Below are 24,129 nucleotides of genomic sequence, written 5' to 3'. Positions count from 1 at the left end.
TTTTCCCAAACTCATCTCCATATAAATTGTGTTTTGGAAAGTCCAAAACTGGGTATCCTGTTTCCTAGCAGATATTAAACCACTTGAACACAGGGATTGTGCCTTTCAGATGTAGTAATCCTTGACTGACCCAGCACAGCACTTTTCAGCAATATTTGTTGAATGGTGCCAGTTACGTGTGTATTTTTTTTTAACAAGTGATCCTATCATTCAACCAAATCTTAGGCTAACAAAAAATTCTTTTAAATGAACCAAAATGCCCAGCATGGTCTAAAGTAAGAGACCTATTTCTTTTTCCCCCATGTCATTTTTACGAATTAGAAATTTCACCTGCAATCTCAAATGTGTGCTTAAAAATGCTTTAGCTATTGGAACTACTGTTTTCCTTTTTCATTTATCTGTTTATTCCTTTCTTCAAATACAAGATTTTTGCCCCTCTATTAAGTAAAACCCACAGATTGAGGTTGGCATTCAATTACCGGGACTGAACTTCAAGACTCGGCTCTTTGGGTAATAATCCACACCAGACTGGGCAGAGCCATCCCGCGTGCTGCAGCGAACCTTGGAGGTCCTGTTCTGATCCCCTCTGCGGATCACCTTGATGTTCAGAATCGCAATGGCATCTGGGCCTGCGGGTTCCCGGACTTGGTATGCAGCTTCTTCAAACTCAATGGTGGGGGCTAAGGAAATATGGTTAGGAAAACAAGAGCCAGTTAGAATAGCACAAAGGATTCAGACTCCCAGGAAAACACCTTATAATGACAAGAGGAAATTGTTCACATTAGTTAACAGTATGAAGGCAAAATGGCTTGCAGTCATAAAACTCAATCAGTATTTACTGCTAAACAATGCTTTGGAAAAAATTATTTATTTGTGATTCTGCAGGAGTTGTGTCTCACATGTTCCTTATTAAAAACAATATAATGGGTGGAATTATTTGTAGAGACTTTGAAATTCATGATGTCCAAGTTTCCAACTCGGCACTACAGTTCACAGAATGTTTTAAAATTTGAACAGTTTATCAAGGGACTGAGACATAGTAGGCCCTAGATAAATACCTGTCACATAAATCAACTTTTCATTCATGAGATATGAATTTCAAAGGTTTATAATTTATCTCATTTATATACTACTTAAATTTACCAAGTCCACCCCTCACCTCTGGTCCTTTGGACCCCCTCCTCTTAGTGCTCTCACCTCCCCATCCTCAGCTTTTCTTAATTTCCTACAAGCTATATAGGTAAGTATGGGTGCTTTCAGTGACTGGCTACAAGGGTAACTCAGGAACACAAGATTTCCTAATGGAATCCTGTTGCCAGGAAATGATTAATAATATATTCAACCTGGGCAACATAGTGAGACCTCATCTCTACAAATAATTAAAAAATAGCCAGGCATGCTGGCACGTGCCTGTGGTCGCAGCTACTCAGGAGGTTGAGGTGGGAGAGTCACTTGAGCCCTGGTGGTCGAGGCTACAGTGAGCCATAATTGCCCCACTGCACTCCAGCCTGGGCGACAAAGCAAAACTCCATCTCAAATAAATAAATAAATAAATAAAATAATATATTGATTTTTACCAAAAAATTCAAATCATGCCTTCTTTTCTATTATATCTCATGGGGAAGGGTGGGGTGGTGGTAGAGAGAGTGAGATAAAAAGATGGAAAAATTGAGAGTAATGATAACTTTTATACCATTTTGAGTATATCATAGAATATGGCAGAAATTTCTACTTTCTGTATTTATTTCCGTTTCTTTCCCTCTCAGAAAGTCAAATCTTCCTAACTGTAGAAGATAAGCCTCATTTGAGGTTTTATAGTTTTTAATAAGAATGCCCTTTGAAATCTAGGAGGGTCACTGCAGCACAGCATAAATCTTTTTTTTTTTTTTTCTTTGAGACAGAGTTTTGTTCTTGTTGCCCAAGCTAGAGTGCAATGGCACGATCTCAGCTCACTGCAACTTCCACCTCCTGGGTTTGAGCGATTCTCCTACCTCAGCCTCCTGAGTAGCTGGGATTACAGGCGCATGCCACCACGCCTGGCTAATTTTGTATTTTTAGTAGAGACAGGGTTTCTCCATGTTGGTCAGGCTGGTCTTGAACTCCCAACCTTAGGTGATCCTGCCTTGGCCTCCCAAAGTGCTGGGATTACAGGCATGAGCCACTGCACCCGGCCTTTTTTAAAATTATACTTTAAGTTCTGGGATACATGTGCAGAACGTGCAAGTTTGTTACAAGCCACATGTGCCACCGACCCATCACCTACATTAGGTATGTCTCCTAATGTTATCCTTCCCCAGGCCCCCGTCCCTGTCAACAGGCCCCAGTGTATGATGTTCCTCTCCCTGTGTCCATGTGTTCTCATTGTTCACCTCCCACTTATGAGTGAGAACATGTGGTGTTTGGTTGTCTGTTCTTGTGTTAGTTGCAGCAGAGTATAAATCTTATTTGTCTGAGTCTCAATGATGGGTTTTCTATGTACCTGGGAGAGGTTCACTTTGGGATCTGAACTTGAGTCTCCTGGGGTCAAGGACTAATTCAACTTTGAGGCTGGAGTTTCTTATTTTATCCAATGTCCAAGTTAGTTACTGATATTTCCCTAGAAACCCTAAGAGTCACTTAAGAGTATACTTAAGAGTACAGATTCTAGAATCAGACAGAATGAAGTTCACATCCAGGTTTGCTGTTTACAGCTGTATAACTAAGAGTGCAAATTATATAGCTTTGCTGAGGTTCAGTTTCTTTATTCGTAATATAGAAATAATAGCACCAACCTCAAGAAATTCCTTCCAGTATTAAATAAGATAATATAATATGCTTAGCATAGTTCTTGGTATACAGTATTCAATAAAAAGAGCTATCACTATTTGTAACATTATTATCTATTCACTCATTAAAATATCTATTTTAGTGAAACAATTATGTCCCAGTTTGAAACAGGTTTTGTCTTCCCTGGTGCCTGGGTCATTCTTGGCTAACACCTGACTATAGAGCTTAAGTTTTTTTTTTTTTAGGTTAGTAGGCCAAATCAATTAGAGAGAAGAAAACTGAGAAATTAGACTTTTCCAGGAAGGTGGCAGTGTTTTAAACCAGTTCATTGGATTCCACTGATTCCAACTGTATTTCCAATCCTGCTCCTGAACTACAGTGACTTAAATGGCTTTTATTCTCTGTCTTAGCATTTCTGTCTCAGCTTTTGACCACAATCAGTCCATATCTCCTAGCACTGTGGTAGGGAACAATGATATTAAAAATACCTATGAATTTTTTGGATCTCTGTAGAGGGAGATCATTTGCCACCAACATTTTATATAAATATTCAGAGAATGTTATCAGTAGGCATTCTTAAAGCACTTTTATTTTTCAAAACACTAATAATTAGTTAAACATCAGTTTATGTCCCCTCAACCTAAGAGTAACTAAAGATAATTTCTTCTGTTACCATCTTCATCATTGGATATGGTGATGGTGGCCATGTTATTCTTTCCAATTCTAGCTCCACTCCAGTGGTTTCCAAGAGGAAGGCCGAGGTAGACCCTGAACTGTTCCTCTGGCTCAAACATGGAGTCATCGTGGATATAGACCGTACAGTTCTTCACCTAGAGCCAATGGCACAAGACAGATTAAAATTTTCAGCAAGATATCAGTGATTTGCTTGGTTTTCCTAGAAAACTATCTTTCTTCTTTATTGCATCAAAAAGTCCACACAAATTCAAAAGGATCCAGTTTCATTTATAAAACAAAATGTTCAAATTTAACAGTTCATGCTTGGGTGGGACCCACCTATATGTGGAGACTTGTATTAGAATATGCCAAACCATTTTTAATTATTGGTGATGAATTATGAAAAACAAGATCAACAAAACAAAGAACCCACTAAAAACCATATGTAGAACATCTGTGTGCTTTCCCACATTTTTTTCTGTGCTGCTTAATACATTTCACATATTAAAATAGGTAGATTTCTGATGACGGGGGTTTAACATACTGATTAAACTTCCTGGAGAGTTGAGTAACACTTCTTTTCCTTTGTAAAAATTGAAGTCTTATAAAGAAATCAGAAAGGCTTTGCGTTAGGCTAAAGATACCTTTAAATGCTAAAGAATTTTCGAATCTGCTGCCAAATGATATCTCATCTGAAAACTGCTGAGTACAGAAAGTCCGAGACCACAATCCAAATCCCTGTTTGATGGAAAGAAACCAAGTGTTTCTCAACAGAATATTCTCTACTGAGGATTGTATTTTTGAGAAAATGTAAAATATGGTCACAACATTTCAGATAACACAGCAGCCTCAATAGTAGAGTCATGTGATGTGAAGGAGGATATTTTTAGTTGGATCATTTCAAATTCACTATTCTAACATATTGCAAAGGATATATGAGTAGAGAGAAGTTTCACTCTCATACTTCCTAAGTCACGCTAAATGGTGAGAGAATATCCCTGTGAATATTTATATGTGACTTGCTAATCTGATTTTAAGTCCCTGAAGAATGTTGTGTTTTTTTTCCTCTACCACATCTTTTGTATAAGAATTCCTTATAGAAAGCATGAAGTTAGCAGTGACTTTTTAGATCTTAAAAAAAATGTTAGTGAATGACAAGTTTCAAAGCATATGCTTAGCAAGCAAAATAATAATAATAATAAAGGTTCTAAAATGTGCTTAAGAATAATGATAGATTGCCATGTGGGTAACACAGACTACTAGACTGTATTTTCTTTATAATTTTATTAAATTAAAAACTACTTCTTGGATAAGCAGAGAATTCTCTTTTGAACTTAAAACAAATACAGACATGTAGACTCAAAGCTGAAGATGGTATCTGTAGTACATGTATGTGTTTTAAAGCACATTTCAACCTGTCACCAGTAAAATTCCCATAAAATATATAACTAAGACAGGCTTTTATGAGTCATAAATGTGTAAATGTCATGAGTGCCCCAAAGAAGGAAGCTATCACTTTTATTTTTGTAGTAAAGATGAACAGAGGAAGAATCTAGGGTGATGTGTGATGGGTATGTTTTATGCTAAACTTCAAAAGGACTAATCATAAGGCAAAAACTGGATACATTTGATTATTTCAAAATTGAAGGCTTCTGATCAAGAACACCATACTCAATGGTAATAAATAAGTGACAGAAAAAGAAAAGATGTTATTAATACCTAAAATGTCTAAAACTGGCAAGGAATTAATATTTGGGAAATATAAGAAAGCATTGCAAATCAGTGAGTAAAAGATAACACAATAAAATAAGAAACAAAGGATAAAAATAAGCTTATATGCTTATTGGAAACCCAATAAGCTAGCAAGCATATGAAAGATTAGTAATTAGAGAATTACAAATTAAAATGAGATATAACTTTATACATATTAAATTAGCAAAAATTCAAAAGATGAATAATGCTCGTTTTGAAGAGAATATAGGGTTATAGCAACCCTCATGCACTTCTAGTGACATTCTGTAAAGTATTCCAACACAAGTTTTTCAAATTAGGTATATGCAGGTCCTGTAGTTTATCAAAATTGATTTTGATAAACTGATTGTATATCCAACAAAATTCTCATTCAAGTCTGTAAGTGGACATGTATGAGGATGTGCACTGAAGCATTATTTGTGATGACAGGGAGTCAGGAAGCTGGTGGGTGTGATCACTGAAGTTCTTCACTGTCTCTTGCTGAGAGTGCATAGGTAAAATATAGCAGACACATACTGATAAATATTTGTCCCCTCCATATCTCCTGTTGAAATTTGATCCCCAATTATTGGAAGTGGGGCCTGGTGGAAGATGTTTGGGTGATGGGGACAGTTCTCTCATGAATGGCTTGGTGCCATTCTCACAGGATTGAATGAATTCTCTCTTAAATCCCATGAGATAAGGTAGTTAATAAGAGTCTGACACCTCCCTACCCTCTCTCTTTCCTCCTCTCTTGCCATGTGATGATGCCTGCTCCCCTTCCTCTTCTGCCTTGAGTGGTAGCTTCCTGAAGCCCTCACCAGAAGCAGATGCTGGCACCATGTTTCTTGTACAGCCTGCAGAACTGTGAGCCAAATAAACCCCTTTTCTTTATGAACTACCCAGCCTCAGGTATTCCTTTATAGCAATGCAAATCGACTAAGACATATACCATAAAATATTATGCAACAGTTAGAAGCAACAGATTACATGTACACCTAAAAAACATAGATCTCAAAACATTGCTGAGTAAAAACAGTAAAAGATGAAAAAAAGAGGACAATAGCATTTTTAGAAATTAAAACTGTATACATAAAACAACAAGCATTTCTTAAGAAGAAATACAAGTTAAGAGATACATATTAAACACAATAGATTGATGAGCAGGGAAAAGAATGTGGCTGGAGAGTAGGGGTAAAACAAAATGAATAAAAAAAAACAAACATAAGAGAAGGGCTTAGTATTGACCAATGAGGATGTGTGCCTTGAACCAAGGGATATAACTGACTCAACCATCTGAAACTGAGATTTTAAAATGGGGAAAATGTGATTCTGATTCAATACACACTTTTGACATACACTGAGGTTGCAGACTAATTCTGGTGCAGCCATGTTTAGTGGTGAGTTTCTTTTTTTTATTATTATTATACTTTAAGTTCTGGGATACATGTGCAGAACATGCAGGTTTGTCACATAGGTATACATGTGTCATGGTGGTTTGCTGCACCCATCAACCCGTCATTTAAATTGGGTATTCCTCCTAATGCTATCCCTCCCCTAGCCCCCCACCACCCAGACAGGCCCCGGTGTGTGATGTTCCCCTCCCTGGGTCCATGTGTTCTCATTGTTCAACTCCCACTTATGAGTCAGAATATTCAGTGTTTGGTTTTCTGTTTCTGTGTTAGTTTGCTGAGAATGATGGTTTCCAGCTTCATCCGTGTCCCTGCAAAGGAATGAACTCATCTTTTTTTTTATAGCTGCATAATACTCCATGGTGTATGTGTGCCACAGTTTCTTTATCCAGTCTATCATTGATGGGCATTTGGGTTGGTTCCAAGTCTTTGCTATTGTGAATAGTGCTGCAATAAATATACATGTGCATGTGTCTTTATAATAGAAAGATTTATAATTCTTTGGGTATATACCCAGTAATGGGATTGCTAGGCCAAATCGTATTTCTGGTTCTAGATCCTTGAGGAATCACCATCCTGTCTTCCACAATGGTTGAACTAATTTACACTCCCACCAACAGTGTAAAAGTGTTCCTATTTCTCCACATCCTCTCCAGAATCTGTTGTTTCCTGACATTTTAATAATCACCATTCTAACTGGCATGAGATGGTATCTCATTGTGGTTTTGATTTGCATTTCTCTAACAACCAGTGATGATGAGCTTTTCTTCATTTGTTTGTTGGCTGCATAAATGTCTTCTTTTGAGAAGTGTCTGTTCATATCCTTTGCCTACTTTTTGATGGGGTTGTTTTTTCCTTGTAAATTTGTTTAAGTTTCTTATAGATTCTGGATATTAGCCCTTTGTCAGATGGATAGATTGCAAAGATTTTCTCCCATTCTGTAGGTTGCCTGTTCACTCTGATGATAGTTTCTTTTGCTGTGCAGAAGCTCTTTAGTTCAATTAGATCCCATTTGTCAATTTTGGCTTTCGTTGCCATTGCTTTTGGTGTTTTAGTCATGAAGTCCTTGCCCGTGTCCTTGCCTTGTCCTTGTCCTGAATGGTATTGCCTATGTTTACTTCTAGGATTTTTATGGTTTTAGGTCTCACGTTTAAGTCTTCAATCCATCCTGAGTTAATTTTTGTATAAGGTGTAAGGAAGGGGTCCAGTTTCAGTTTTCTGCATATGGCTAGCTAGTTTTCCCAACACCATTTATTAAGTAGGAAATCCTTTCCCCATTGCTTATTTTTGTCAGGTTTGTCAAAAAATCAGATGGTTGTAGATGTGTGACATTATTTCTGAGGCCTCTGTTCTGTTCCATTGGTCTATATATCTCTTTTGGTACCACTACCATGCTGTTTTGATTACTGCAGACTTGTAGTATAGTTTGAAGTCAGGTAGTGTGATGCCCCCAGCTTTGTTCTTTTTGCTTAGGATTGTCTTGGCTATATGGCTCTTTTATGGTTCCATATGAAATTTAAAGTAGTTTTTTCTAATTCTGTGAAGAATGTCAAAGGTAGCTTGATGGGGATAGCAAGGAATCTATAAATTACTTTGGGCAGTATGGCCATTTTCATGATATTGATTTTTCTTATCCATGAGCATGGAATATTTTTCCATTTGTGTCCTCTCTTATTTCCTTGAGCAGTGGTTTGTAGTTCTCCTTGAAGAGGTCCTTCATGTCCCTTGTAAGTTGTATTCTTAGGTATTTTATTCTCTTTGTAGCAATTGTGAATGGGAGTTCACTCATGATTTGGCTCTCTGTTTATTATAGTTGTATAGGAATGCTTGTGATTTTTGCACATTGATTTTGTATCCTGAAACTTTGCTGAAGTTCCTTATCAGCTTAAGGAGATTTGGGGCTGAGACAATGGGGTTTTCTAAATATACAATTATGTCATCTGCAAACAGAGACAATTTGACTTCCTCTCTTCCTATTTGAATAAACGTTTATTTCTTTCTCTTGCCTGTTTGCCCTAGCCAGAACGTTTAATACTATGTTGAACAGGAGTGGTGAGAGAGGGCATCTTTGTCTTGTGCAGGTTTTCAAAGGGAATACTTCCAGCTTTTGCCATTCAATATGATATTGGCTGTGGGTTTGTCATAAATAGCTCTTGTTATTTTGAGATATGTTCCATCAATACCTAGTTTATTGAGAGTTTTTATCATGAAGGGCTGTTAAAGTTTGTCGAAGGCCTTTTCTGCATCTATTAGATAATCATGTGGGTTTTGTCATTGGTTCTGTTTATGTGATGGATTATGTTTATTGATTTGCGTATGTTGAACTAGCCTTGCATCCCAGGGATGCAGCCAACTTGATCGTGGTGGATAAACTTTTTGATGTGCTGCTGGATTCAGTTTGCCAGTATTTTATTGAGTATTTTCGCATTGATGTTCATCAGAGATATTGGCCTGAATTTTTTTTTGTTGCATTTCTGCCACAGTTAAATATCAGGATGATGCTGGCCTCATAAAATGAATTAGGAAGGAGTCCCTCTTTTTCTATTGTTTGGAATAGTTTCAGAAGTAATGGTACCAGCTCCTCTTTGTACCTCTGGTAGAATTCGGCTGTGAATCCGTCTGGTCCTGGGCTTTTTTTGGTTGGTAGGCTATTAATTACTGCCTCAATTTCAGAACTTGTTACTGGTCTATTCAGGGATTCAAATTCTTCCCGGTTTAGTCTTGAGAGGGCGTATGTGTCCAGGCATTTATCCATTTCTTCCAGATTTTCTAGTTTATTTGCATAGAGGTGTTTATAGTATTCTTTGATGGTAGTTTGTATTTCTGTGGGATCAGTGGTGATATCCCCTTTATCAATTTTTATTGTGTCTATTTGATTATTCTCTCTTTTCTTCTTTATTAGTCTGGATAATGGTCTATCTATTTGGTTAATCTTTAAAAAAAAAACCAGCTCCTGGATTCACTGATTTTTTTGAAGGATTTTTCCTGTCTCTATCTCCTTCAGTTCTGTTCTGATCCTAATTATTTCTTGTCTTCTGATAGCTTTTGAATTTGTTTGCTCTTGCTTCTCTAGTTCTTTTAATTGTGATGTTATGGTGTCGATTTTAGACCTTTCCCACTTTCTCCTGTGGGCATTTAGTGCTATAAATTTCCCTCTAAACATTGCTTTAGCTGTGTTCCAGGGATTCTGGTATGTTGTGTTTGTTCTCATTGGTTTCAAAGAACTTATTTATTTCTGCCTTAATTTTGTTATTTACCCAGTAGTCATTCAGGAGCAGGTTGTTCAGTTTCCATGTAGTTGTGTGGTTTTGAGTGAGTTTCTTAATCCTGAGCTCTAATTTGTTGCACTGTGGTCTGAGAGACTGTTTGTTATGATTTCTGTTCTTTTGCATTTGCTGAGGAGTGCTTTACTTCCAAATATGTGGTCAACTTTAGAATAAGTGCCATATGGTGCTGAGAAGAATGTATATTCTGTTGATTTTGGGTGGAGAGCTCTGTAGATGTCTATTAGGTCTGCTTGGTCCAGAGCTGAGTTCAAGTCCCAAATAACCTTGTTAATTTTCTGTCTCATTGATCTGTCTAATATTGACAGTGGGGTGTTAAAGTCTCCCACTATTATTTTGTTGGAGTCTAAGTCTCTTTGTAGGTCTCTAAGAACTTTGTGAATCTGGGTGTTCCTGTATTGGGTGCATATATATTTAGGAAAGTTAGCTCATGTTGTTGCATTGATCCCTTTACCATTATGTAATATACCCTTCTTTGTCTTCTCTGATCTTTGCTGGTTTAAAGTCTGTTTTATCAGAGACTAGGATTTCAACCCCTGCTTTTCTTTTTTTTTTTTTTTTTTTGTTTTCCACTAGCTTTAGTGGTGAGTTTCTAGGTGCATATGCATGAGATTTCATGTACATTGTCAAGAGAATACTCTGCTGACTTCAATTTGCTCAACATCTGCCTATTTGGTCCTATACTGGGATATATGTTTCCCTGGGACAGGGGTGCAGGTATTAGACGGCTGCCTCCTGCTCTCAAAGTAACAGTGGAGTATATTCATCTCTAACATAGTTTGAGATTAAGAGGTGGTAATAAGAGCAGAACTCATTTGCTTCTGCTAAGTTCCAAATATGTCACACATCAGCTAAACTTCTCAGATCAACCAATGATATGTGTATTTGATTGTAAGTGGGAGACAAAGAAGGAATAGATGACATCATTAAAAATATTGTCAATTATGGATAACCCTTGAATGACACAGGTTCAAACTGCATGGGTGCACTTAGACATGGATTTTTTTCTGTCTCTCTACTCCTGAGACAGTGAGACCCTCCTCTCCCTCCTTCTCTTCAGCTTATTCAATATGAAGACAATGAGGATGAAGACCTTTATGATGATCCACTATTCCACTTCTTAATAACATTTTTTCTCTAGTTTATTTTATTGTGAGAATGCAGCATGTGATACATATGACACATAAAATATGTGATAATCAACTACTTATGTTATTGGTAAGGCTTTCAGTCAACAGTAGGTTATTAGTAGTTAAGTTTTGTGTGAGTCAAAAGTTATACACAAATTTTCAACTGTGTGGGGAGTTGGCACCCCTATCCCCTGCATTGTTCAAGGGTCACCTGTAGTATACAAAATTCTGAGAATTTTTGGAATTTATATAAATGACTTCATTACAGACAAATAAAGACAATAAGAGAATCTCATCTTTCAGCCACCACCAATCCACTTACTTTGTCCCCTTTGAGAAATGTAATCCGTGAAGAGTCTGCATTTTGTCTCTCCTCAAAGTCCTCCATGACCTGAGCGGAATGGCTCTGAGTATAGCACCTCACTGATGACTCATAGCTCAGGTCTCCGCTCCGAGTGATAGGGACATGCAGGACACCCTCCTTCTCCTTCACTAGGAGCAAATCCTTGGCAAACTGCATGCTGGGCACTAGGTGGGCAGACAGAAAGACAGACGCACCATTAGTGGAAGACAGGGAAGCTGTGGCCATGGTCCTTGTCAGCCTTCAGCAGCTATTTTGGCAGGTGAGCTCCACCAAAGCCCAAGGTAGGCTGACAAATCACAGGTGGCAAGCAGATTCCAAAGCATGGTTGTTGCTCTCAGGACAAGGGAACTGCTTCTACTATAAGTGTGCATCCAGTGAAATAGAACAGATCAATTTTGTACCTATCTTTGTACAACTTCAAAATGCTGTCACCATCTCAAATATGAGCAGGTAATGCAAGTCAATAAATGGGATAATTGTAAGAAAAATTTTGATGGTGTACGAAAAATTTTGGTCATTATTTGGGTACTCAAAAGACTTCACTGTCCTCCTAGGGCTACAGTAAGGAAAACAGCAGTGCAAATCTGGTGCTAAATGGCCACTCACATTGGTCTTGGGGCCAGAGAGACAATAGGAAAGAGTGGGGACATAAGTATAAAGGAAAGAGTAGGCCCTGTTTAAAAAGTTCCAGTCTTCTGTTGCCAGATCTTATTTTCAAATGAAGCCAGAGATGTGGTTTTTTATGACATAGCTCCTGAATTCAAAAATAGCAAACAAATAAAATAGTGAAAAGAAATTTTGTATAAGCCAAAACTATTTGGGACAAACAAAGCATGTCCACAGACTAAATTTGGCCAGAGGGTTCCAGTCTGTGACCACTGCTATAGATGACTCTTCTTTTTTTTTGAGACGGAGTCTCGCTCTGTCACTCAGGCTGGAGTGCAGTGGCACAATCTCAGCTCACTGCAACCTCTACCTCCCGGGTTCAAGCAATTTTCCTGCCTCAGCCTCCCAAGTAGCTGGGACTACAGGTAGGCGCTAGATGCCTCTTCTTTTATAACTCAAATCCTCCTTTGACTTAAGGATGAGACCGTAGTCAAATCATGGTTAAAAACAAGGACTTAGGAGGAAACAGACCTGAATTTCCATCTCAGCCCTTCTACTTACCAGTTGTGTGACACAGGGCAAGTTACTTAGACTTTCCAAACTTTGGGATATTTTTCATATATAAATTGGAAATATTAATATCTAATATAGAATTGTTGGTATAATTGAATTTAATGAGATAATAAATGCATGGTACTCAATGTAGTATCTGGTTTATAGTGAGAACTCAAAGTTTGGTAGGAATTAATATATTATGGTTTCTATTTTCCTCCCAACTCCAGAATTCTCAATATGAAGAATCATTTGCTCTGTATTAAGGCATTTGCCCTTCTGAGGTCAACATTTTGTTGACTGCTGGTTATTAATTTATTCACGAACAATGCAAAGAATCATATGTCAAAGCCTCCTGGGTCAGAATTAGTCTTTGGGTTAAAGCTGTAATCACCAATTTCCTGGCTGCCTCCTGGACACACCCCACCAACCCAGAAAGGAAGGAAAGGTGTGTGTTTGGGGATTGGGGGACGTGGGGGAATGAGAGGAGGGGTGATAAGCACCCAAGCATTCTCCAAGTCAATGTACAGAAAGCTCTCTGTGACTCCAGAACTGTTGGCCATGGCAAAAATAAAACCATCCCATCATATGAACTAAGCTTAATAGTTACTAATCATTACTAAATGAAAAGTCAGATGATACTGCTTAAAAGAACACTATACCTAAAGGAAAATTAACAACTGTAGGCCTAACCAGTTAGGGCTCCGTAACCCAGTGAAATGGCCTGTGCTGCTAAAAGGTGGATGGCAATGACATCGCCCAGCATAGGAGGACAAGAAGGAAGCTTGTTGCCAGGGAAAAAGCAATACAAGCAGGGAAGCTTTTCCGCTCCCAGCAGATATCTGAAGCTTTAGATTGTTTTTTCTTGCTGGCCTGACAGGCCTCAAGTCAGATGAGAAAGTTAAAGGCTGAAGTGGTTATGTTTAGGTTTGGTCATGCATTAATCAACTCCAAATTCCTCTTGAGGTATAAAAGACTATTTTTTCCCTCTTTAACAAGACATTCACTCTCACTTCTATCCCTGTCTGCCAAAAAAAAAAAAAAAAAAAATAGAGAGAGAGAAAGAGAAAAGGCAGTGGACACATCTTCTGATTGCCTGCCCAGAAACAATCCCTCCCTTTAAGAAGACCCCAGACCAGTGGGAGACTGAGGCAAGAGACATATACAACAAGGGAGTTTCAGGAAGAGATTTAGCACAGGGGATTTATGTTGTAAGTCAGGCATTGTGTTAAAGGTTTTCATATATATTATTTAATGTCATTCTGTCACCAACCCCATAAGGCAGTATAATCCCCAGGAAGTGATAGCACTGGCTCTTAGAATCAACTTCCCCTGACTGCAGGGCTCCTCTTTTTCCACACTGATGGGCTGCATCAATATGAAATGGAGGTTACCTGCTGATGGCGCATGGGCTCACATTGGGTATAACGCATTTTCTGTCAGCACTGCTCATAGAACACTTATTGTGCATGGCCAGTCTACAATTATCTTTTTATTTATGGAAGTCTTGTATCCTAAAATAGATTATGGGACTCTGCTCTCCACTACTCTGTAGCCCATACCATGTTGATCACCAGTGCTAGGTATAGAAAATGTCCTATAAACACTGTTACCTCGCTAATCTTCTTAGTAACTGATGAAGTGAATGTAAACGCCAGTGCCTGGAATGCAATAGCCTCTTTACCAGCAACAGTTAAGCCAGAAATTTAGGAGAAATCCTGCCTCTGTTTCACGAGTTAATGAGTATGTTTGCCACAGATGCACACACAGGAGGGTGATACCGTAGCAGCTACAGGACTTTCTAATGCTACCCAGTCAGCATTACTCATGCCCAAGCCCGAGTCTAATTCCAGGTACCAGCACAGCAAAGGTAGGTGAGAACAGGTAAATGTTATAAGATGAGCTGCTTAGATGATTTAAGATCCTGAAATCAGCCTAGTGGGAAAAGAATGAAAGGAGCTAAGATCACTGCAGAAGGCTGAGAGTTGACTTTGTAAGACTCTTGAGTGACGGTTAGCATTGTTATACAGAGGGCAGTGGCCAGCTGAAACTGAAATGTGAAGAGTCAGCGTAGTAGGATATGAAACCAGAAGACTGGACTTGGATAGAGCAGACTTGGATTTTAATTCCAGCTTCATCACTTTCTCTCTGTGTAATCCTACTCAAATTATTCAAACTTGGTTTCACAAGTTAAAGGTCTGTTGCAAGGATTAGGGATAATATGTAAGATCTTTCTACCCTAGAATGTTCACACTGAATGGACTCAACAAAAGTTCGTTATTACTAGGAAGAAAGATAACCAGAAGAAGTAAGTACTGAATGCTATGCTGAGTTACTGAAATAGGTTTTGGGATTTCTTTCTCTGGGATAAGTTATTGATTAAACACATATTGCTGTAGCTTCTCTGAAAGAAAAAGAAAAGCTGTAGCTTTTCTGAAAGAAAATTTTTGCTTAACATATCAGTTTCCTAAGTTGACAAACCCAATGCTCATCAATAAAATACTGAAAAATATTTAAATATAATTTTGTGTGTTGATCAGTGAGGACTCTATATGTTACTGGAGTCTTGTTGGTAAGAGTGATAAATGCCAGGTGTGTCAGGAAGAAAAGAAATCAACATGTAATAAAATTTACTGTGTGCCAGGTATTACAGCAGGCATTTTCACATATTTTATCTAATTTAATCCTCACAACAATCTTGTAAGGTAGTTATTTTCATTATTTATAGATGAGCAAAATGAGGCTTAGTAACCTTAAGCTTCTGGCCTAAGGCCAAAGACCTAGGAAGTGGTGGGGCTAGGATTATATTTCAGGACTTCAACTTTGTATTCACTTTCCACTTCATCAGAGGGAAATTAATGGTCATTTCATGCAAAAGAATAAGAAACAATTTCAAGAATAAAACGTATAGCTGAATTTTCTTCTTTCTGTTTTATCTTCCTCTTTACTAAGAAATAAAATTGCCACTGATTCTACTTCTACACCAATTAAAACCATGTAGTATATAATGCAAGGAGGATGAACTTGGGGTCAAAAGTCCTAGAATGCATGCTGGTTCCTCTAGATACTAGACATTGGGTGACCTATTTCCTCTGATTCTCAGTTTCCTTATCCACTAAATAGAAACAGAAGAAAGAGCACGGGGTTATGAGCAAGTGAGATAAGGCTTAATGGATTGCTTTGTAAACTTGGAAGTAACATGCAACATGAGATAATATAAGTGTCATAATCTTGTTCATGGTGTAAAAGTTACCGTTTTGTGAATCACAAACCTAAATGTAAAACTTAAGGCTATAAAACTTCTGTAGGAAAATAGGAGAACATCTTTGTTACCTTGGGTTAGGCAAAGATTTCTTAGATACAACACTAAAAATATGATCCATAATAGAAAAATGATAAATGAGGCTGCTTCAAAATGAAAAATGATTACTCTTAGGATGTTTGTTTACAGAACAAAAAGACAAAAAACAGACTTGGATAAAATATTTGCAAAATATAAATCTCTGTCCAGAATCTACAACAATGCAATACAAGTAGGAAAACAACGCAATTTAAACACCAAAACCTTGAACAACCCAAATGTCATTCAATAGGTGAGTAAACAAATGGTGGTAAATCCATACAATGAAAAGCTAATCTCAATAAATGGAATGAACTACTCACATATGCAATAACATGAATGAGTCTCAAATGCATTTTCTAGTGAAAGAAACCAGATGCAAAATCATAGATATTATATGATTCCATTTTTATGAAATTTTGGAAAAGGCACAACTTTAGGGCCAGAAAACAGATTAGTGGTTTTCAGGGCTGGTGACTAAGGAGACACAGACGACAAAGGCACATGAGATAATTTTGCAGAGTGTTGGAACTGTTCAACATCTTGATTGTGGTAGTGAGCATATCACTGTATACATTTGTCAAAACTCATAGAACTGTACACTAAGGACGATGGACTTTCATTTATGCAAGTTGCACCTTCATAAACCTGGCTCTAAAACAAATTACTATCATTTTGGATGCATGCAAGTATGTGTATGTTTGTTGTATGTGTGTGTGTGTGTATCACACATACATAATTTTATATATATATATATAGAGAGAGAGAGAGAGTTTTTTTTTTCTCCTGAAGGATAAACACACAAAAAACTGGTTAAAATTGTTGTCTCCAGTGAGGAGAACTGGGAGACTGGGAGATAGGGGTAGAAAGAAGATTTAATTTTCATAGTATACGCTTTTTGCCATTTGAATTGTTTACTACTATATACATGAAATAAATGATTTAAGAATAAATAAAAACATCAAAGATTATCCGACTTGGCTTCTTGCTCCTCTTTTGAGGACTTCTCAGCTGCTAGGAGTTTAATCATGGGCTCTATGGCCAATCTCTGGGAATGCTAATGAGGGTCCTGCTGCTTTAGGTGGAAGGTTTCACTTGATCTTCTCCACCAAACCCTAGTATCCAAACAGTGGATTCTGAAGTTCTGACAATTCTAATTTCGTCAATTCTTCTGAGAAGTAACCATCCTTTCCTGTTTTTCCTCATGCTACTTAGGTTACATCTTCAGCAGTGACTGATATTTTCTTCATATACCTGCCTCTATTCATCCCTGCACATCACCTACAATACTGCCAATATTCGCTTTCTAAAATAAAAAAGCACATCACTCCTCTGCTTATAAGCATCCACTGCTACCCTTTGCTTATAGAGTCCTTAGGCTGGATCACAATGCCTCTCAGAACTTGACTCCAATCTGTCTTTCCATTCCATTCTTCTATTCACCCCCTCCCATGCTCAAAGCAAAAGTAAGGGTCTGTTCCCCAAATGTGGATCTTTCAACACATTATACATTGTATTTACTATATGTCTCCACTTGAAATAGGTTTTCCTTTATTATGCATTAGATAGACTCCTATCACACCTGAAGACTCTGCTTAAATATAATCTCCTTGGTGAAATCTATAATTTCCCCCACTTGTAGTTCCTGTTCAGTTCCCTCTGCTCCCATAGTGCTGGATGTATAGTACTATTAGGTCATTTATCATGATTTATTCCAATTTCTCTCTTTAAGGGTCTGATTCCACAGGGAGACACTGAGCTTCTTGAGGACAGGGCCCAAGGCTTATACATCTCTTTGTGTCTGGCAGAGTACCGGAGACATCAATGGTTCTCTCTCACATCTACATACTCTGCTATGTAAAAGTGCAAATGCTCACGTATACACATCTACACACACATATTTCTTGAATGAAAATGTGAATGAGTTCCAATGTCACATATGTGGACGTTAAAGAAAAAATAGAAATATATTTGGACCTACCAGCTGGCATCCCCAATCTCTTACCATCTTGGAATGTGTCATTAATTGCAATGACTGCCTGGAAGGGTTTGGTCAGTTCGGCTCCTTGTGCTGAGCTGAGGAAAACCACAAATGTCTCCAGTCCTTCAATTACCGGATACTGAGTGTCATCCAAGATAGTCAAGGTGCAATACTAGAAGAGAAACCAAAGCAAACTTGACAGAGGACCCACCATCTAACACCCATTTACCTTGACTAGGGCAAAGGTCACAACTTGCCTGTCTTTGGTGGTTTTAAAGTAAGATTTTCTAATCCATAACATGATGATCTCTTTATTACATGCCACTCGGAGTTTGTTTTTAGATGTTTATATCAAATGAGTATAGTTTATATCCTGAATCTGTAAGGCTGGATATTTGATGCTAAAAATGTCACTAGGAGAGTTTTTAGAAGATCCCCTCCTAAGTTAACTCTCTTGTTTATGTATGTGTGTTTTTAAAGAAAGGAAAGATAGGAATATCGCCAGGGGAGTTTAGAGAGCTTGGGAAGCAAACTAAAGACAACATTCACAAACCGACCTGTCAACTTTGTGGAGTCTCGACTGCTGTAAACGCACCTGTTCAATGACACCAGGCCCAAATTCCACCTTCCGAGAGCTGGGAACGTAGTCAACTCCTGGTGTGGCAGAAGCTGGGTCTGAGGGCCGCGTTGCACACCAGACAGATGCGAAAGTAGAGAGGTCAGTACCATGGCGGATAACTGGAATCTTTACTGTGCCTGAATTAAGATTCATAGAGATTTTAATGGTCAACTTTGAGCCAGAAAATCAGCGAGGTTTTCAGAATGATGTTCTCCCTCACTGCAATAGTGGCAGCTTTTAGCCCTTTGAGCTTTTCTAATCTAGCTTCAGTGATGCTCCTATGGCCCATCTGAGGTGAAGGCCTAGAGGTGTCACTACCTGTCTTTTCACTGACACTAGGATCAAGAGGAGACCTAGAGAAGGGCTTCATGGAGATGGTGCTGGAGAGAGCCCTTAGGGGAGAAGGCTGTTGTGGCTTCACAAGGGAGACTGCTCACAGGAGAACAATGCACTTAAGGAGAGAAGGGTCTATTGCAAAACATCTCAAGCCTATTTAGGGAGAAGAAACTTAGAGCCTGGGGCCTCAGGGATGTGTCAGAAAATAGTCAATTAAGGAGGACCCAGCTAGGGGACTCTATGGAGCCTGAAGCTGAATGTTTCTAATTAAATGTTCCTAACTGAGTTGATTTCTCTGTTTTACCCAAGCACATGTCATGACTTAAACCGCATGTGCTTATTACTCATCTTAGGAATGAAGCTCATCTTCCTGTCCACTGTGACATCATGCTTTGTAGTGTCCTAAGGATATTTAGCTATTTTCACAATCAAGGGCAGAGAAAAGCTTCATGAAAACCCTACAATTTTCAATCACCACATTTTCTAGCCAACATGCTGTGAGATGCAATGTAGTTATGGCTGGGCATTTGCTGTATGGGAAAAGAAACATGCTATAGTAGAAAGGTCTGGCTTTGAATCTAGCCTTGCCATTTTATTAGCTGCTTAATCATTGATGACTGACTTAACCTATCCAGGCCTCCATTTGCTCTTTTATATAATGTTCTCTCTTCCATAGAATATTAAGTGAGAATGCATGGAACATGCACGGTATGGTGCCCGGCATTCGGTAAGTGCTCAAAAATACCTGTTCCCAGTGCTCCTCCAAATCCCTTCATAGATGTGAAAGGCCTTGATCTGGCCCAGATCAGGAGACACTCAGCACAGCTGTTGCCCCTCTGCCAGCAGTATATCTGCCTGCAGCATACATAAGACTTCAAGACCTTTGTGGAGCCACAAGTGGGAAAGGAGCCTGAGTCTCTGAAATACCATGTGAAAGTGACCTGCCCACTGATCGCTTTGGGCTCTTACATGAATGAGAAAGTTTCACTGTATGAAGACACTGAAACTTTGGAGAGTGTTCAGGAGCTAGCAGTACACTAAATACTTCACTTCCATCCTCAATATATCACATTCTCCCCTTTCACAAGCCCAGATGCTCAGTGCCAGGCCCTCCCTCTGGACCACAGAGGTCAGCCCATGAAGCTCTAGGCTCTATGCCACAGCCCTGCCTGCCATCAAGAACCAGAGTAAAACCTTCTACACTCTATCTCCATGACCTCAATGATTTTAACCTTTAGCTCCCACAAATAAGTGAGAACATGTGAAGTTTGTCTTTCTGTGCCTGGCTTATTTCACTTAGCATAAGGACCTCCACTTCCATCCATGTTGTAGAAGGATGGTTACCAGAGGATGGGAAGAGTAGTGGGGGTGGGAAATGGTGGTGGAGGGGGGAAGTGGGCATGGTTAATGGGTACACAAAATACTTAGAAAGAAGACCTAGTATTCCCTAGCACAACAGGGTGACTATAGTCAAAATAATTTAATTGCACATTTTAAAATAACTAAAAGAGTATAATTGGATTGTACATAACACAAAGGATAAATGCTTGAGGTGAGGTGATGAACACCCCATTTATCCTGATGTGATTATTATATATTACATGCCTGTATCAAAATATATCATATAATCCATAAATATATACACTTACTATGTACCCACAAAAATTTACTAAAACAAATCAGAGTAAGAAAAGTGGATGGAACTCTCTATAATAAATTCCATGCTTGGTCTTGGCCAAGCATTATATAGTGCCTTAGACCAACAGTGGTATCCCTGAGGAATGGCATTCTCAATGTCTCCCGGATATTCTGAAACCTAAGGAGAAAACTGCTCAAGAAAGGAATCAGGAGACAGGTGAAGGAAACTCAGAGACACTCTCCATTACCTGCGTCCTCACTGACAGTGAAAGCCGTGTTGCCCAGGGACACAGTCGAGGCATCGTTGGGACCACTAATGAGCACCTTGGCTGTCGCCACCCTTCCAATGCGGGCATTGTCAGAGGCATCTGCCAAGGCAATCTCAAACTCTTCTTCCTCTTCATACTCGCTGTCATCAATAAGCATGACATCACAGGTGGACATGGTCACACCAGGCCCGAATATCACACGACTCGCGGCAGACATCCCTCTAGATTTAAAATCAGAGCCTGATTCTAGAGCATAGAGGCTACTTCCCATAGCTGACTTAGGGACTGTGTAGCAAATTGCAGATACAATGCTGCTTGCATCTCCTGAAATACAAATGGCAAAAAACCAAAGCATTTGAATGAGTGCTTCTCAGATTTTAAAACCTCTGGTAAGTTAATGAGCTTGGTCCCTCCCAAACAGTCCATCACTATTTCTGTTCAAACTCTGACATAAAACCTTCCTGAATTGCAGTTTCTTTGAGCCTGTGGTATAAACCACTTGAGGATTTAATATACCCCAGATACTTCATCAAACAACTCAAAATGGATTTCCTATTCTGTGAATTTTGTGCTCTGTTAATTTGCAAGACTCATTGCCCACCATCTAAGACCACAGCAGGTGGAAAGATATGACACATATTTGGTACTTTAAGTAGGAAAGTAATTGTGTCCTGAAGGTAGTGCTATAAGCACAGTTCACTGCCTTTCTGAATAAACTTCTATACTTTAATTCCCAGAAAGAAACAGGCTTATTTAAAAAGAGAAAGACAAAACAAAATAAAATCTGCCACTGTATACAAATGACTTTACTTATTAGGGCTGCCACTTCCCTTGGTGACAGCCTGTTCTGGGCCTGGCTTGGTGGCCCAGAGCAATCAATGAGGCTTGCTTGTTTTCCAAGTGGCATTACCAAGGGTTTTTGCTATCTACAGTATTTGTTACACTAATACCCAGTCAGCAGATTCAAGAAAGAAACCCAAAATCATCATTTACAGTCTTGTTGTGCCTTTGAATGGGGGTTCAATTTCCATGTGTTTTAAAGTCTCAATCTTGCACAATCAAAATTCCATATGATGTTTATTTTTATTTCCAACTCCTCAAGAATTGCCCTTTTATCAACATGCACAATTACTATGTATCAGTCAAAAATAAAACAAAAAAAGAATTGCCCTTTATTTCTTACACATAGTTTATTTCTCATCTGAGCTCTACATATGACTGTCACATAGGGAAATTTTCAGCATATTTCTGTCTTCCAAGAATAAGATGGAAAGCCAGTCCTTATGAACTGTAACTTCCCTCCTTGACCAAGGTTACTAAATATTTTATGGATTGGGTGATTGATTAAGAATACTGATTCATGAATAATTTAGAAGGCTAAATATAACCAGTCTTCTAGTCCAATTTAAGAGTAAATGGGAGCTCTAACAACTTGAACTAAGAAAAGAGGCTTTCTGATGGTAGTCACTATGGATAGAATCATCATCAGGGTTGTTGTGGGAACCAAATGAGTTAATAAGTGGAAAGTACACATGTGAGTTAAGATAATGCATGAGATGAGTGCTTAGCACATAATAGGAACTCAATAAATGTTAGCAATTATTATAGCTCTTTGTCACCTGTGGAACCAACAGACCTTTTCTTTCAATAGGTGCAAACAGAAAACCAGCGCTCTCGTTAACCCAGTAGATCTTCTTGTCAAACTCTAATGTGGGTTCATCCTCGGTATCGTTGATAATGACCTTCGCCTGGGTGAATTCCCCTAACAGGGCATAAGCTGGCATGCTGAGCTCCACAGTGAAACTCTCAACATTTTCAAACACGTCATCATCGTTGATGACAATGGTGCAGGACTTGGTGTCCTCTCGCTCATCAAACTGGACCTGTCACAAAGGAACCAACAAGAAGTTAAGCTGTGCCTCAGCTTCCCCTGCTCTGCTTCCCCAGGGCATCATAGGAAAAGAGCATCCAAGTCCAGTGGGCAGAGCACTGACTGAAATAGCTGGTTCTCCCAGCCCTGGTTCCCTGCTGCATCACCTGGAACACCCAGCCACCTCTTCCCATTCTTAACCTGTACAGGAGGGCTGCTTTATTGTATAAGGACATGAAGGAGCAAAATCTCTCCTACCATTGGTGACTGGAGAAAAACATGTAGTAACTCTTTATAGCCTGTCTTATTATCTCACTTGGGGCAGCAACAGTCATCATTTGATGACTCAGTTCCCTTTCTGGAAGAACTCTGGCCTTGGAGTATGAAGTTCTGTTCTCAGATCTGGTTCTGTTACTTCCAAGCTGTATTAGGTTATGAAGCTTTACAAACATCAGATTCCTCATCAACTAAAGAAAAGTCATAATATTCCTACCTCATACGCTTCTTGGGAGGACTAAAGGAGGTCTTGTATATGAAGGTGTTAAGTGTATTTTAAAGTACCAAACAAACATAAGATATTATCATTAGTATCACCATATTACTTACACAATTAAAATTGACATAGAATTCCAGTGTACTGAATAATGGAATTTAAATTCATAGAAAATTACATTATAAACAAGGTAGACTAATTTTAACTTGATATTTTGACTACACCCTTTGCCATTAAAATGTGAATCAATTTAGCCCAGTACAAAACAGAGAAATTATTTTATATGTACACAATTGTGAACTTATAGGGACTTATTCTGGTTTTACTTTGTTTTTTTTTTTTTTTAAAAAGAAAGAAATTAAAAATCTTCAAGTGAAACCACGACTATGGACTTGCCCAAAACTGAAACTGCAGGAAATGAGCCTGGACTATACTTTGTGTAAACGGAGATAACTGAAATATGTACAAAAAACAGACATAAATGTCTGGGGACACACAAATCTGCAAAAATTTTACTCAAACAGAAAATTATTAGTATATATCTAATCAACTAATAACACTTTTATTAAGCTTCATATTTTAAAACACTCCCAGTGAAATGAAACACTCAACAGATCTTTATGTAAGATCTAGAATACACTGACAGTCTTCTGTCTTTCCCTGAAAAACACAAGAATATCCTCCGTCTTATCATTTAGCTGAAAGACATTAGCTTATCTGTTCTTTCCTAATTCCTCACTTACATTTGACATTAGAGACATTAGCTTAGTCCAGCTGAAATGCCTCAATTAAAGAACAGAGCCCACTTCTCTTTACAGAGATCTGTGTTGCCATAATAACAATAAAGTTGCTTTGAAAAAAAAATTAAGTGTCAGACATTGTGCCCTCCATAAAAGATGACAAATACATGGGGCCCTGTATTTGTTGACTATTTAAGTTGACTATTTAAGTCCTCCTTTCTCTTCCACTTTCACTCTCTCCTTTTTCTTTCTCATTGCCACCTTTAATTACCACTGGTATGTAGATGACTTGCAAATTTCTCTCTGGACACCAGACTCCTCTC

General features: G+C 38.5%; 1 protein-coding gene across 1 annotated transcript in view, besides 1 other annotated feature; it reads right to left on the bottom strand.

Annotated features, from left to right (window-relative positions):
- The window catches only part of FRAS1 (Fraser extracellular matrix complex subunit 1), a 486,947-nt gene that overhangs the window by 43,869 nt on the left and 418,949 nt on the right, over positions 1-24,129 (bottom strand). Inside the window, exons 55-61 of the mRNA NM_025074.7 lie at positions 22,340-22,586; positions 20,683-21,027; positions 18,437-18,597; positions 17,866-18,013; positions 11,321-11,526; positions 3,440-3,596; positions 480-680 (exon numbers count right to left, since the gene is read on the bottom strand). Of these exons, the coding sequence (NP_079350.5) occupies positions 480-680; positions 3,440-3,596; positions 11,321-11,526; positions 17,866-18,013; positions 18,437-18,597; positions 20,683-21,027; positions 22,340-22,586 (1,465 nt within the window). The remainder of the gene's footprint in view (positions 1-479; positions 681-3,439; positions 3,597-11,320; positions 11,527-17,865; positions 18,014-18,436; positions 18,598-20,682; positions 21,028-22,339; positions 22,587-24,129) is intronic.
- Positions 18,106-19,305: an enhancer, noted in NCBI's record as "CDK7 strongly-dependent group 2 enhancer chr4:79402250-79403449 (GRCh37/hg19 assembly coordinates)". NCBI's record gives its function as "activates an origin of replication core promoter dependent on BRD2, BRD4, P300/CBP, MED14 and CDK7 cofactors, with strong dependence on CDK7, by STARR-seq in HCT116 cells {active_cell/tissue: HCT116}" and the evidence as "EXISTENCE:reporter gene assay evidence [ECO:0000049][PMID:35650434]".

The sequence above is a fragment of the Homo sapiens genome, chromosome 4 (assembly GCF_000001405.40).
Source record: "Homo sapiens chromosome 4, GRCh38.p14 Primary Assembly".
Taxonomy (NCBI): domain Eukaryota; kingdom Metazoa; phylum Chordata; class Mammalia; order Primates; family Hominidae; genus Homo; species Homo sapiens.
The sequence above is the reverse complement of the archived record's forward strand: the minus strand, read 5'-3'. Positions and strand labels throughout refer to the sequence as shown.